Source organism: Homo sapiens, chromosome 18 (genome assembly GCF_000001405.40).
Source record: "Homo sapiens chromosome 18, GRCh38.p14 Primary Assembly".
Classification (NCBI taxonomy): Eukaryota; Metazoa; Chordata; class Mammalia; order Primates; family Hominidae; genus Homo; species Homo sapiens.
Window position 1 is genome coordinate 50,394,187 of NC_000018.10, and position 15,040 is coordinate 50,409,226.

The 15,040-nt window shown below is 46.2% G+C and overlaps 1 long non-coding RNA gene across 1 annotated transcript, besides 2 other annotated features; it reads left to right on the forward strand.

The window, feature by feature from the left end:
• Positions 3,835–4,534: an enhancer, noted in NCBI's record as "H3K27ac hESC enhancer chr18:47924391-47925090 (GRCh37/hg19 assembly coordinates)". NCBI's record gives its function as "activates a minimal SCP1, AML or CMV promoter by ChIP-STARR-seq in naive H9 embryonic stem cells {active_cell/tissue: H9 hESC(naive)}" and the evidence as "EXISTENCE:reporter gene assay evidence [ECO:0000049][PMID:30033119]".
• Positions 6,141–6,658: an enhancer, noted in NCBI's record as "NANOG hESC enhancer chr18:47926697-47927214 (GRCh37/hg19 assembly coordinates)". NCBI's record gives its function as "activates a minimal SCP1, AML or CMV promoter by ChIP-STARR-seq in naive H9 embryonic stem cells {active_cell/tissue: H9 hESC(naive)}" and the evidence as "EXISTENCE:reporter gene assay evidence [ECO:0000049][PMID:30033119]".
• Positions 6,717–14,501, forward strand: LOC105372115 (uncharacterized). Its single transcript, XR_007066368.1, has 2 exons — positions 6,717–7,029; positions 10,989–14,501. It is a non-coding gene; the product is annotated as an uncharacterized LOC105372115 (long non-coding RNA).
• Positions 14,502–15,040: the final 539 nt, after the last annotated feature.

Below are 15,040 nucleotides of genomic sequence, written 5' to 3' on the forward strand. Positions count from 1 at the left end.
TTCTGTATTGCCGTATCAAATTATCAAACCTGAGGAGGGGGTTGTGGGAACCCCCATGTGTAGCCATGTTGGACAGAAGTATGGGCAACCTGGGGACCTGCTAGTTGTGACTGGTGTTTGAAGTTGGGGATGGTTTTATGGGACTGAGCCCTTAAATCTGTGGGGTCTGCATCAACTCTAGGTATTTAGTGTCAGAATTCAATTAAATATAGGATACTCTGTTGGTGTCTAGAGAATTGGAAAATTGGTTGGGATGGGGAAAAAAACTCCACACATTTGGTGTCAGAAATATTATGTGAATGTAGTATAGAAGAAAACAGGCTTTTCCCTTGTTGGTGAAAAACATGATAAAATAATGTGTGGGTAGGTTGATAATAGTCAAGAAAAATGGGTAATGGGATTGTAAGAACTTAGCCATGTTTCTCTCAGGCACCTGGGGAGACTGGTCTGTCTATGTCTGTGCCATCTGCTTGGCAGGCTTGTCCCTGTAGCAGAGAAAAAATGTGTCTCACCAAGCCTGTGGCCTGGTTAACACCATCACTGTGATGAACACACAGACGCTGCATATTTACTGTTATCCTTTTGTTTTCCTTAATTTAAATACAGGCATGTTTAATTTTTCATGCCTCAACTTAAGTGAAAATAATGGCATTATTCTTTATTTTAAGTATTGTTTGATTTTTGATATGGTTTGGCTGTGCCCCTACCCAAATCTCACCTTGAATTGTAATAATCCCTATGTGTCAAGGGCAGGGCCAGGTGGAGATAATTGAATCACGGGGGTGGTTTTCCCCATGCTGTTCTCATGGTGTAATTAATGAGTCTCACGCGATCTGATAGTTTTATAAATGGGACTTCCCCTGCACAAGCTCTCTTGCCTGCTGCCATGTAAGACATGACTTGGCTCCTCATTTGCCTTCCGCCATGATTGTGAGGTCTCCCCAGCCATGAGGAACTGTGAGTCCATTAAACCTCTTTCCTTTATAAATTACCTATTCTTGGGTATGTCTTTATTAGCAGTGTGAGAACAGACTAATACAATTTTTCTTTTTCTCTTCTTCTCCTCCTTTTCCTCCTTCTCTTTCTTCTCCTCCTCCTTCTCTTCCTTTTCCTTCTCCCTCTCCTCTTCCTCCTTCTTCCCCTTCTCCTCCTCCTCCTCCTTCTTCTTCTTCGTCTTTGTCTTCTTCTTTGTCTTTATCTTCTTCTTCTTGCCAGAATCTCACTCTGATGTCCAGGCTGGAGTACAGTGGTGTGATATTGGTTCACTGCCTCCACCTCCCAGGTTGAAGCCATCCTCTCACATCAGCCTCCCAAACAGGTGCATGCCACCATGCCTGGCTTTTTTTTTTATTTTGTATTTTTTGTAGAGACAGAGTCTTGCTATGTTGCCCAGGCTAGTCTTGAACTCCCGGGCTAAAGCAATCACCCTCGGCCTCCCAAAGTGTCGGGATTATAGGCGTGAGCCACTGCACCCAGCCCATAGATGGTTTTAATAAGGATTCTGTGGTTATAAGAGTGTGAGATGTGCTTAGTTAAGTAAAGATAAGCAGATTTTATTATTTCATGACTTCTGAAGTCCTTCATCTTACCCATTTATTTTCTAAATCTCCAACAGAGACAGGCTGTGTAGTGGAGCACACATTCTACTTGTGGAGAGTTACTTCCATTACCTCTTTCGTTATTTCTGAGGAATACGTATTCATATCTCTGGGCATACTAATGCTCCATGAAATATGTTTTGGAAACATAAAGCAATCTGTTTTGCTTTATGACGTAAAGCAACCTGACATAAAGCAATCTGTTTTGAAACCCCACTCGTTTTTATTAATGAAATGTCATTACACAATCTTATTAGTAAATATATGTATGTAAAAGACATTTATTGAGGCAGTGTAATGGACTTTGGGGTGAGAAGGCTAACCAGAGTTCAAATCCTGGTTATGCTACTGACACGCAGTACAAGCTTCAGTTAGTTAATCTCTTAGAACCACAGTCTTCTTATCTTCTGTAACAAGATAATCACGGCAGTCACCTGGTTGCCCTTGCTGACTCCACTTGGGGGTAGGAGGTGAGAGAAGTACTGGTGAAACTTGAGAGTGCAATTAAAGGGAGATGGATATCCTAAAAACCAGCCCAATTGAGGCAGGAAAATAGGGTCTGGAGGCAAGGAACATAAGGCTGATTCACACTTCAGCTATGACAGGAAATATCCTCTCCATAGGGCGTAGGCCAAGTAAATGATTTTATCACTTCATCCTCTTCATTTACATAGGGCATACCCCAAGTAGAGGGTATGTAAACTCCCCAGAATTCTGTTACGGGGCCTTTGAGTCCCTATGCTCAGACCTGCTCCCACACTGTGGAGTGTACTTTCATTTTCAATAAAACTATTCCTTCCTTGCTTTGTGCATTTTGTCCAATTCTTTGTTCAAGATGCCAAGAACCTGGACACCCTCCACCATTAACACGATGCCTCTTCAGCCATCAAGCTTGATACAGTGCCCAGTGACAGTGACACTACAGTGTGATACAGAGGAGAGGAGAGAGGGGAGCTAGTACAAGGACAGTCTGGGCCGGGCGGGGTGGCTCACGCCTGTAATCCCAGCACTTTGGGAGGCCAAGGTGGGCGGATCACCTGAGGTTGGGAGTTCGAGACCAGCCTGACCAACATGGAGAAACCCCGTCTCTACTAAAAAAAAATACAAAAAATTAGCCGGGCGTGGTGGCGCATGCCTGTAATCCCAGCTACTCGGGAGGCTGAGGCAGGAGAATCACTTGAACCTGGGAGGCAGAGGTTGCAATGAGCAGAGATTGCACCATTGCACTCCAGCCTGGGAGACAAGAACGAAACTCTGCCTCAAAAGAAAAAAAAAAAAAAAAAAGGACAGTCTGCATCCCTTTGGCAGGGCAAGTTCCTGCCAGATGTCTGAACAGCACATGGACTTCTCTGCTTAAAGCGCCTTGCTATGGATCCTGTGGACTGGTTTAAACATACTGCCAACCTCCTCCAGGAAGACTGCCTGTTGGGCAAGGGTCCCCTGGGTGTAAGCTGATATGGAAGGGATAAGACGGGGTTTCTTGCCTCAGGGGCTGTGCAAGGGAGGCCGCTGCTTAGAGGGAAGGAGAGGGCTCAAACCTGCTGTTGAGGTAGAGATTTCCTGAAAGAAAAGATGGTAGCAATCACTTCATGAATAGTCACTATGTTCCCAGAAGGTCTGAGTCCTAAGGACCTTCCTCTGGAGCCTCAGTAAATTTACTTAATCTAAATGGGTCCAGGTGCTGGGGTAATTACCCTTATCTTGTCTCCTGCTAAATTAGAGGTTTGGGGAGTTCCTTCACACCCCCAATAAACTTGTTTGTGGAGGCCAGGGGAGTTTCTTCAGACCCACAGTAAAACTTATTTAATCCTAAATGTGTCCTATTAAGAATTGCTTCGTTATTTTGTCATGCTTTAAGGCCCAGGAAAGGCCAAGGCAAAACTCTTGGTGGGCTTTTGTTACATCCCAGCCTTTGTATAAGAGCACTAGCTTTTAATATTCAACTTAACCACTCAGTACTGAAACAGTTATTATGGAGGCCTGCATTAGTGAGACCTGGCCTGCCACAACTTAGGGAGAAAAGATTTTTTTGTCTTTCTACATTTTGATTATGATGTATTTGGATGTTGATGGTCTTGTATTTGTCCTACTTGGAGTTCTCTGAGCTTCTTGATACACGAATTTATGGTTTTTAATTAAATTTTGGAAGTTTTCAGCTATTTCTTTTAATTTGTGTGTGTGTGCGCGTGCTCCTTTTCAGAGGAGGTGCCAGTTGGGCTTCCTGGGTCGACTTGGGGCTCAGAAAGCTGTGAAACTCACTCATTTCCTGCATCAGGACTTACTTTGGTCCTGGATGAATAATACTGAAGATATATGCTTAAAATATTCCTAATATCAGAATTTGTGCCTGTGTTTTCTTCCCCAAGAAAGCTATAAACAGCGAAAATTTTGATGTAAGCTTCCCTGTGTCCTCTCTCCCTCTCTCCCTTCCCCCTCCCCTGAAACTAAAAGGAATGTTAAAAGCCTGTTTTTCTGTGACCCACAGAGGCAGACCGTATCTATGCTCCCAATTCCAATTCCTTTTAAACACAATTTGTAAACTCCCGTGAGATCCTGTCTCTTTTGCCATGTCGCTGCAAGGTCATAAAGTAGATAAAACTTAAGTTACAATTCCAGTTTTCCTCAAGATCTGAGACGTGTTGTCTTTGTTTCTCGCTCTGGTAACATCTTCCTGCGGCACGTATTTCCCGCCTGAAGAGTTTAAAAGGTGATCGAAAAATCTAACACTGGCTACCCGCTTGGGACCCCTTCCACGCTGTGGAAGCTTTATACTGTCACTGCTCAATAAAGCCTACAGCTTTTTTTTTTCTCTCGGTCCGATCCGTGTCTCTCTCTTGCCGCAGGCTGCCACCACACCAATTCTTTGGCGTGGCTAAGGCAAGAACCTTTTGGTGTTACACTTTCTTTCCACTCCTGTACTTGCATTACAAATATGTTGGTGCACTTAATGGTGCCCCACTTTTCTCTGAAGCTCTGCTCATTTGTCTTTATTTTCCCTCCTATTATTTCTGTTCTTTCTCTGTATTCTTCAAATATATGATCTCTATTGATCTATCTTCAAGTTTGCCGATTCTTTCTTTGGTTCCTGTTTTTGTGCTTTTAAATTCCAGAATTTTCATTTGGTTCTTTCTTACAATTTCTATCTTTGTATTGATATTCTATATTTGATGAGACATTGTCATTAGGCTTCCTTTAAACATGGTTCCCTTTAGATCTTTGAACACATGTATAACAGCTGCAGTGATTTGGCTGAGCTAGTTCAATGATTTGACTATCTTCTTTCCTGATCTTCCCATTGAGCTTCTAGCAGGTCTGCCTCTGTTGGTATCTCACATGGCTGTTAGCCTCCATTAATTGCTAGGTGATTGGTCTGTTGTTCTTGACAGTGCCCTGGGGCTTAAATTGCTCTACAGTCTGATTCAGTTGCAGTCAAGCCCCTTCGCAGGGGCAGGGTATTGCTAGTCTTTGAGACTTGCTTCCACCCCCTGTGGACTGAACCTCTGTAGTATGGAGTAGGAGCTGGGGGAAAAGGAGGAACAGTTTTTCACCAGCTGCCCCATCCAGATCCTGTCTATGGAGCAGGAGCCATGGATGCGGGGTAGGGAGTAGCATCAGGAACTGGTATCATCAGCCACCTATTTCTCTGCTGTGATTTGCAAGGAACTAGTTTTTCAGTCTCCCTTACCAAATGGCTTCTGACTGGGTTTAGCCAATAGGAAGTGCTAGTGGAAGATTGGCATGTTGGAGAGGGGGAGAAGCCAGAAATTTCATCCTGTCTCGCTTTGCTTTGGGTTGGTATCCTTGGCAGGCTGTGTCTCCTGTGTGGCACTGACTACTCCAACCAGCCCTCTTTTTGTGGTTCCATTTCCCACTGGGCAATGGGAAACCATGCAGTGTAATTCTCCACTCTGTAGGTTGAAACTATAGTAGCTTTATCTGGATGGCCTGGCAAATAGCCTCTAGTGATACCACTTTCTCCCATAATCCCTTCTGTCTTAGTGTTCCCAGACCACACTGAGGGCCGGGCTCCTATTTCTCGTGGCCCAATAACGAGATGCAGATGGACTGGGGAGGAAGGGAGTTTTTATTTCTGCAACCACTTACAGGGAGAAGGCCTAGAAATTATCACCAGACAAACTCAAAATTACGAAGTTTTCCAGAGCTTATATACCTTCTAAGCTATATGTCTATATGTAAGTGTGCATTCATCTAAAGACCTAAGTGATTAACTTCTTTTAATCTATACCTAAGGTCTGAGTCTTGAAGACCTTCCTCTGGAGCCTCAGTAAATTTGCTTAATCTAAATGGGTCCAGGTGCTGGGGTAATTACCCTTATCTTGTCTCCTGCTAAATCTTGGCGGTTTGGGGAGTTTCTTCAGACCCCCAATAAACTCGTTTGTGGAGGCCTGGGGAGTTTCTTTAGACTCACAATAAAACCTGTTTAATCATGCTTTAAGGTACAGGAAAAGCCTGGGCAAAACTCTTGGTGGGCTTTTGTTACATTCTAGCCTTGTTTTGGGGTACCGGCTCTTTCAGCTTTTAATATTTAATGTAGCCACTCAGTCAGTGCTGAAATAGTTGTTATGGAGGCCTGCGTTAGTGAGACCCGGCCTGCCACATTAGTATAGTAGTAGTGTCTTGCTGTACCCTCTTAGTCACTTCACTATGTGATACCTTACCTTGTTTTAATATGAACAGACTCTCCCTTAGCTGAGAAAGCCAGACAGACTCCATTTGGCTCCTTCATTTGCAAGACATCAAGGGCTCCTTACCCACCCCCTTCCTCAAGGACTCGTGCAAGCTGACTCCCAGCACATCAAAGAGTGCAATTAGCCAATAAGGTACTGTGGCAAGCTATGTCCACAGTTCCCAGAAATTCGCCCAAGTGATAGTACCCTAAGCCCCCGCGTTTGTGTCTGGTAGATAGCAGCCAAAGCCCTCGCACCTATCACCTTGTGATGGATTTAAAGCCCCTGCACCTGGAACTGTTTGTTTTCCTGTAACCATTTGTCTTTTTAACTTTTTTTGCCTGTTTTACTTCTGTAAGATTGCTACAGCTAGGCTTCCCCTCCCCTCTCTAAACCAAAGTATAAAAGAAAATCTAGCCCCTTCGGGGCCGAGAGAATTTTGAGGGCTAGCCATCTCTCGGTCGCCAGCTAATAAAGGACTCCTGAATTAATCTCAAAGTGTAGCGTTTCTCCATAACTCGCTTGGTTACAACATTTGGAGGCCCCAACGAGATATTCACCTCTGGGTGAGAGCTGGACTCATTCCAGGCTCCCCCGGACAGACGGCGGACTTATAGGGGAGGTGCCACCTGAAGACATTCCAGGGCCCCATAAGACCCCGTCTTCCGGAGGGGAATGGATCGACCACCAGTGTGTGCCCACAAAAATTCAACTCCTGATCCTCAGTTTCTGGTCCCGGGAAGGTAAGTCAGATCTGACTCTGTTTCTCTGGGAGGGAAGCGGCCCTGACAAGGGCCCTCCCTTGACTCTGCCTGCGTTGCAGGATGCTGAAGGACAGAGTCCCGGTTTCTGGCAGCCCGGCCTCTCTGTTAAGATTAGTCTCTCTCTCCCTCCCTCTTTCTTTATCTCTTCTGCTTCTCTCGTTCAGGTCTCCCGGAGACCTCTGTTATAGAACGGGAATAAGAAAACTGTTGTAAACTGTGTGAATGAGTGCGTGAATGTGGAGTTCAAGGGCTTGCGCTTGAATTTCCAGTTTGTACCTCCAGGGCGAAAGCTACGGAGTTCGAGTGGGCCCTCACCTGCAGTTCCGTGGTGACCTCATAAGGCTTAAGGCAGCATCGGGCATAGCTCGATCCGAGCCGGGGGTTTATACCGCCTGCCAATGCTAAGAGGAGCCTAAGTCCCCTCGGGAACAGCCAGGCGGGCATCTGACTGATTCCATCATGGGACCCCCTCCCCTTGTCTGTCTATAAAAATTGTCATAATTGTTTATATACCCCAGTGTCTATTGTCCTGTTTAGTGTCTACGGTCCTGTCTTGTGTCTAACTTTCGTATGTCAGGTCGTCGATATTGCCCAAGACAACTGGGCAAGGACTTCAAAGTCCTGAGTGCAGATTTCTAACACAGGAGGTCTCAGGTGTGTCTCTTCGGGTTGCCGGGCCCAGGAGCCAGGCGCTCCTCCTTGGCAGGGGCTCCCAGACCCGAAGGCGAGGAGTGGGAGGGGACCCCCTTCCCCAGAGACCCCTGCAGGCTCCCGGCTCCTGCGCCTTCAGGCGTCAAAGCCCCCGACTTCCCCGAGCACCAGCGTATCTGCACCTGGCTTAGAACGCAGAGGCCCGGCCTGCTGTGGTGACCTTGGCCCCGGGCCAGACTTCTGAGCTGGGCTTGCAGTGCCTGACAGGGCCTGGAGGCGGGGCGGGGTACCGCGGAGTCATCCTGGCAACCCCGTGCTGCTCAGCAGGGCTCCTCCCAGCCTGAAAAGATCTGAGTGGCCCCTTTCCTCCTCATCCCCATCCCTTACCCCGCACATCCCGTTTTCCTGTGCCACAGCAAGTCCAGCGCCTCCAAGACTTGGCTCCGCTCTCCCTCCTAAAATCCTTAAAAGAAAGGGCAAAGTTTGAACTTTTTGCCTTCAAGTCGTGGAGACGCCAAAAATATTTAGACTATAAGTCAGAGAGGAGAGGGGGATCACGTAGGTCCCACTAGCCTCGCACCCATCTCTTGTCCTCTCCCTAAATCTTGGAGCTTAAGGAAACAGACCTTATGTGGCAAGAAGCGCTGGCTATAGCTGTTTTCCTACTTCTTTTGGTTATGATGCTTCTATTCTTCCGATACTCCAGCCCCTCCAGGTCATGAATTTCTCTGTCCATGCTGGGTTTAATATCTCTGCTCAAACTTTGTTAAACTGCCTCCAGAATGGGAAACTCTTCTTCCCAGTCTCATAAAGATTGGAGCCCTCTCCAATGTATGTTACAAAATTTCTCTCTAGGCTTCTCCGAGGATTATGGGGTCCGCCTTAAAAAAGGCAAACTCTGGACACTCTGTGGAGTAGAATGGCCAAAGTTTGGAGCCGGGTCACTGAACCTCGCAATTGTTCAGGCTGTGTGGCGGGTTGTTGCTGGAACTCCTGGTCACCCTGATCAGTTTCCCTACATTGATCAATGGCTGAGTTTGGTCCGGAGCTCTCATCCATGGCTCCACTCATGCGCCATTCCTAATCCTACCTCCAAGGTCATTTTGAGCCAGACCTCACTTTCGCCTCGACCCTCAGCCGGCTCGGCTCCTCCTGTATTGCCTCCTTCTGAAGAAGAGGAAAGTCTCCCTCACCCAGTTCTGCCGCCTTATAACCCTCCTGCTCCCTTAGAATCTTCCCTTGTCTCCTCGACTACATCCCCTGTGGGCTCTCTGCCTATTGCCTCCTGATTGAGGCCACAGCAGGAGGAGGTAGCCCCCCTCCTCCTGCTGAGAGAGGCACAAGTCCCTGCGGGTGATGAGTGCTCAGCTCCATTCTTGGTTTATGTCCCCTTTTCTACTTCTGACCTGTGCAACGGAAGGCTCATAATCCCTCCTTTTCTGAAAAGCCCCAGGTCTTGACCTCACTGATGGAGTCGGTGCTCTGGACCCATCAGCCCACCTGGGATGACTGTCAACAACTCCTTTTAACCCTCTTCACCTCTGAAGAGAGGGATCGTATCCGAAGAGAAGCCAGAAAGTATTTCCTTACATTAGCCGGTAGACCGGAGGGGGAAGCCCAAAACCTCCTTGAGGAGGTTTTTCCCTCTACCCGGCCTGATTGAGATCTGAACTCCTCAGGTGGGAAGAGAGCTTTGGATAATTTTCACCGTTATCTCCTTGCGGGTATCAAGGGAGCCGCTCGAAAACCATGAATCTGTCTAGGACAACTGAAGTTGTCCAGGGGCCTGGTGAGTAACCTGGAGCATTTTTAGAATGCCTCCAGGAGGCCTATCGGACTTACACCCCTTTTGACCCAGCGGCTCCCGAGAAGAGCCGTGTTATTAATTTGGCATTTGTGGCTCAGGCGCCTCTGATATTAGAAAAAAATTACAAAAACTGGAAGGATTTGCTGGAATGAACATTAGCCAGCTTTTAGAAGTAGCCCAGAGAATTTTTGACAGTCAAGAGTTCGAGAAACAAAAACAGGCAGCTGAAAAGGCTGCTGATGAAACATCCAAAAGACAACCGAAAATCTTAGTGGTCGCCATCCGGGAAGCCAGAAAGGAGGGGCCCCCATCACAGAACACTAGCCAGGGGACCCCGGTTCCACAACAGAAAGGCCAGAAAAGTGAGTAGGCTTCCCTACAGAAAAACCAATGCACTTATTGCAAGCAGATAGGACACTGGAAAAAAGAATGCCCATTTAAACCAGAGGGAAAAATAATGCCCATTAAAGCCAGAGGAGAAACCAGAAAAGAAAAAGGTCTGAAGGGGGCCAGCCCCTCCACACCTGTGGGTGTTTCTCATCAGGTGGGTCAAAAGAGTGAGAAAAGAAGACACAGAGACAAAGTATAGAGAAAGAACTGTGGGCCCAGGGGACCAGCGCTTAGCATACAGAGGACCTGCGCCGGCCCTGGTCTCTGAGTTCCATCAGTATTTATTGATCACTATCTCTACCATCTCGGAGAGGGGGATGTGGCAGGACTATAGGGTAATGGTGGGGAGAGGGTCAGCAGGAAAACATGTGAGCAAAGATCTCTGTGTCATAAATAAGTTTGAGGAAAGGTGCTGTGCCTTGATGAGGACGTAGGCCAGATTTATGTTTGACTTTACACAAACATCTCGGTGCATTAAAGAGCAGTATTGCCGCCAGCATGTTTCACCTCCAGCCATAAGACAGTTTTTTCCTATCTCAGTAAATAGAACGTATGATTTTGTTTTACACTGAGACATTCCATTCCCAGGGACGAGCAGGAGACGGATGCCTTCCTCTTAATTGCAAAGAGGGCTTCTTCCTCTTTCACTAATCCTCCTCAGCACAGACCCTTTACGGGTGTTGTGCTGGGGGACGGTCAGGTCTTTCCCTTCCCACGAGGCCATATCTCAGGCTGTCACATGGGGAGAAAGCTTGGACAATACATGGCTTTCCTGGGCAGAGGTCCCTGTGGCCTTCTGCAATGCATTGTGTCCCTGGGTACTCGAGATTAGAGAATGGCAATGACTTACCAAGCATACTGCCTTCAAACACATTTTCAACAAAGCACATCCTGCACAGCCCTAAATCCATTAAACCTTGAGTCAACATAGCACATGTCTCTGCAAGCACAGGGTTGGGGCTAGGGTTACAGATTAACAGCATCTCAAGGCAGAAGAATTTCTCTTAGTACAGAACAAAATGGAGTTTCTTATGTCTACTTCTTTCTACATAGAGTAACAGTCTGATCTCTCTCTATTTTCCCCACAAAGGTCCTCAATCTCCCCGCAGCAGAGGAATCTGATGATTAAAAGGGCCGGGGCTCCCTCTCTCTTGGCCCCCGGAAGCCCATGGAGACCGTCACAGCGGAGGGCCATGGTGATGCCCAGGCATCTATTTGTCTAAAAGACTGGACCCAGTGGCCTCCAGGTGGACAAGTTGTCTGTGGGCCATAGCAGCCACAGCAAGCCTGATTCAGGAGACTGATAAACTGACTCTAAGTCAAAATTTAACTCTTACGGCTCCTCGTGCCATAGAGACTTTGCTGCAAAGTGCTTCTGGCAAATGGATGTCAAATGCTCGCATCCTGCAGTATCAGAGTTTTACTGTTAGATTGGCCTCGTTTAACTTTCTCTCCCACAAGGTGTTTAAATCCAGCTACTTTGCTCCCTGATCCAGACTTCACCACACCTGTCCATGACTGCCAGGAACTGTGAGAGACTACAGAAACTGTCCGACCTGATCTCCAAGATGTGCCTTTAAAGGAGGTGGATGCTACCGTGTTTACAGACAGTAGCAGCCTCCTTAAACAAGGAGTACGAAAGGCTGGTGCGGCTGTTACTATGGAGACGGATAAACTGCAGACTCAGGCATTGCCAGCAGGTACCTCAGCACAAAAAGCTGAATTGGTTGCTCTCATTCAGGCCCTCCGACGGGTAAGGACAAATGTATTAACATTTACACTGACAGCAGGTATGCTTTTTGCTACTGTGCGTGTACATGGAGCCATCTACCAAGTGCGTGGGCTACTCACCTCAGCAGGAAAGGCTATCAAAAACTAAGAAGAAATTTTGGCCCTGCTTGAAGCTGTTTGCCTACCTCAACAGGTGGCTGTAATTCACTGCAAAGGACATCAAAAAGAAGACACGGCCGTTGCCCATGGTAACCAAAGAGCAGACTCTGCAGCCTGGGGGCCAGCTCAACTGCCAGTCGCGCCTCCGACCCTGCTGCCTGCAGTGTCCTTTCCGCAACCTGACTTGTCAGATCACCCAGAATATTCCCCAGAGGAGGAAAAACAGGCTTCGGATCTTCAGGCCAGTAAAAATCAGGAAGGAGGAGTAAAACTGGCCCAGCTTCTAAGGAGCCGTTTCAAGATCCCCAACCTTCAGGACTTAGTTAACCAAGCAGCTCTCTGGTGTACGGCTTGTGCCCAGGTAAACACTAAGCAAGGTCCTAAACCCAGCTCAGGCGACCGCCTCCAGGGAGACTCACCAGGAGAAAGGTGGGAAATTACAGAAATAAAACCACACTGGGCAGGGTACAAATACCTTCAGGTACTAGTAGACACCTTTTCTGGATAGACTGAGGCATTTGCCACCAAAAACGAGACTGCCACCACGGTAGTTAAGTTTTCACTCAATGAAATCATCCCTCAACATGGGCTGCCTGCTGCCATGGGGTCTGATAATAGATCGGCCTTCACCTCGTCCATAGCTCAGTCAGTCAGTAAGGCATTAAACATTCAATGGAAGCTCAGTTGTGCCTATCGACCCCAGAGCTCTGGATGGGTAGAACACATGAATCACACCCTAAAAAATACTCTTACAAAATTGATCTTAGAGACCGGTAAAAATTAGGTAAGACTCCTTCCTTTAACCCTTCTTAAAGTAAGATGCATTCCTTACCGGGCTGGGTTTTCACCTTTTGAAATCACATATAGGAGGGCTCCGCCTATCTTGCCTAAGCTAAAGGATACCCGTTTAGCAGAAATCTCACAAGCTAATTTATTACAGTACCTACAGTCTCTCCAACAGGTACGAGATATCATCCGCCACTTGTCTGGGGAGCTCATCCCAGTCCAGTTCCTGACCAGACGGGGCCCTGCCACTCGTTCCCACCGGGTGACCTGGTGTTAAAAAGTTCCAGGTTAAAGTTTAAAAAAAAAAAAAAAGTTCCAGAAAGAAGGACTCACTCCTGCTTAGAAAGGACCTCATACTGTCATCCTCACCATGCCGACAGCTCTGGAAGTGGCCAGCATTCCTGCTTAGATTCATCACTCACATCAAAAAGGCCAACAGAGCCCAACAAGAAACATAGGTCCCCAAGCATAGGCCAGGCCCCTTAAAACTGTGCCTAAGTCGAGTGAAGCCTTTAGATTAATTCTTTTTATTTATCTCTCTTGTTTATTTCCACCTGTTATGCCCTCCGTGCCTTCCTATTCTTCTCACTTCTTTCACGACAGGACGTGTATTTGCAAACACTACTTGGAAGGCAAGAACCTCCAAGAAAGTCTCTTTTGCAGTCGATTTATGTGCTTTGTTCCCAGAGCCTGCCCATAACCTTGAAGAACAATGCAACCTGCCGCATAGAAGCGGGGAACATCAACCTTGCTACAGGGTTCGGACACACAGGAAGCCGGACTGGATGTAAAAACTCTAAAAGTGAAAAAAAAAGGACTCCAGAGCATTGACTTTTACCTCTGTCCTAAAAATCACCCTGACTCTAGTTGTCACGATTCTTACCAATTTTTCTGCCCTCACTGGTTTTGTGTGACCCTAGCCACTTACCCTAGAGGATCACCTGGTCCTCAACCCTCTCCATAACTCACACTTCCCATCCTAGACTGTGTACTATGAAAAATTGTAACCCTCTTACTATAACTGTCTGTAACCCTGGTTCAGCTCAATGGTATTGTGACCTGTCATAGAGATTAAGGCTTTATATCTCGAGATTTAATGTTAAAACTATGTTCACCATCCAAAAAATCTAGATAAACGCCAGCAAAAATAGGAAAATAGCACCCCTTGGTACCAAAGTATGTTTAACTAGAATCCATGGCTGACTACTTTAATCACTAGGCTAGCTAGCCCCCTTCTCCTCCTACTGTTAGGCTTAGTCTTCAGGCTGTGTATATTAAATTGGTTTCTTAACTTTATAAAGCAACGCATAGCTTCTGTCAAGCTTATATATCTTAAAACCCAATATAACACCCTTGTTATAACTGAGGAATCAATGATTTGATTCCCCAAAAACACAAGTGGGGAATGTATTACCTTACCTTGTTTTAATATGAATAGACCCTCCCTTAGCTGAGAAAGCTGGACGGACTCCATTTGGCTCCTTCATTTGCAAGACATCAAGGGCTCCTTACCCACCCCCTTCCTCAAGGACTTAACTTGTACAAGCTGACTCCCAGCACATCAAAGAGTGCAATTAACCAATAAGGTACTGTGGCAAGTTATGTCCACAGTTCCCAGAAATTCACCCAGGTGATAGTACCCTAAGCCCCCGCGTTTGTGTCTGGTAGATAGCACCCAAAGCCCTCGCACCTATTACCTTGTGATGGATTTAAAGCCCCTGCACCTGGAACTGTTTGTTTTCCTGTAACCATTTGTCTTTTCAACTTTTTTTGCCTGTTTTACTTCTGTAAGATTGCTACAGCTAGGCTTCCCCTCCCCCCTCTAAACCAAAGTATAAAAGAAAATCTAGCCCCTTCTTCGGGGCTGAGAGAATTTTGAGGGCTGGCCGTCTCTCAGTCGCCAGCTAATAAAAGACTCCTAAATTAATCTCAAAGTGTAGCGTTTCTCTATAACTCGCTTGGTTACAACAACTATCCTTTGGCTTCTTTGCTCTTCCATCACCTGTGTATCTAATTTACAGTTTTAAATTCCAACACCCCTCCCCGCCATTGAAATACCTAGAGTGGTTTCTGTTTTCCTGACTAGAACCTGATTCCCACTAGCCAAATTAGGAGCAATTTAAACTTAAACATAAAATAATACCAATTGACTCAAACACATATAAAAATATTTGCATTCCTTATGATTCCCCCCAAAAAGAGAAAGCCCAAATTCCTAGTATTGGTGGACTCTTCTACACCAACTTCTTTCTCTGAACATTGGTAATTAAAGTAAAAGTTATCCTGCTTTTAGAATCATATTTCAGGATAACCAAATAGCCCAAGTGGATAAGGGAAACTGTTCTTTACAGAAGGAGGCCAGCTATATATGTCAAATGAATGGTAAAACTAGAAAATTACTTTTTTGTAACTCCTAATAATTGATTTACATAAGGGTCATCAATGCACGCTAAAATCATAAGGTAA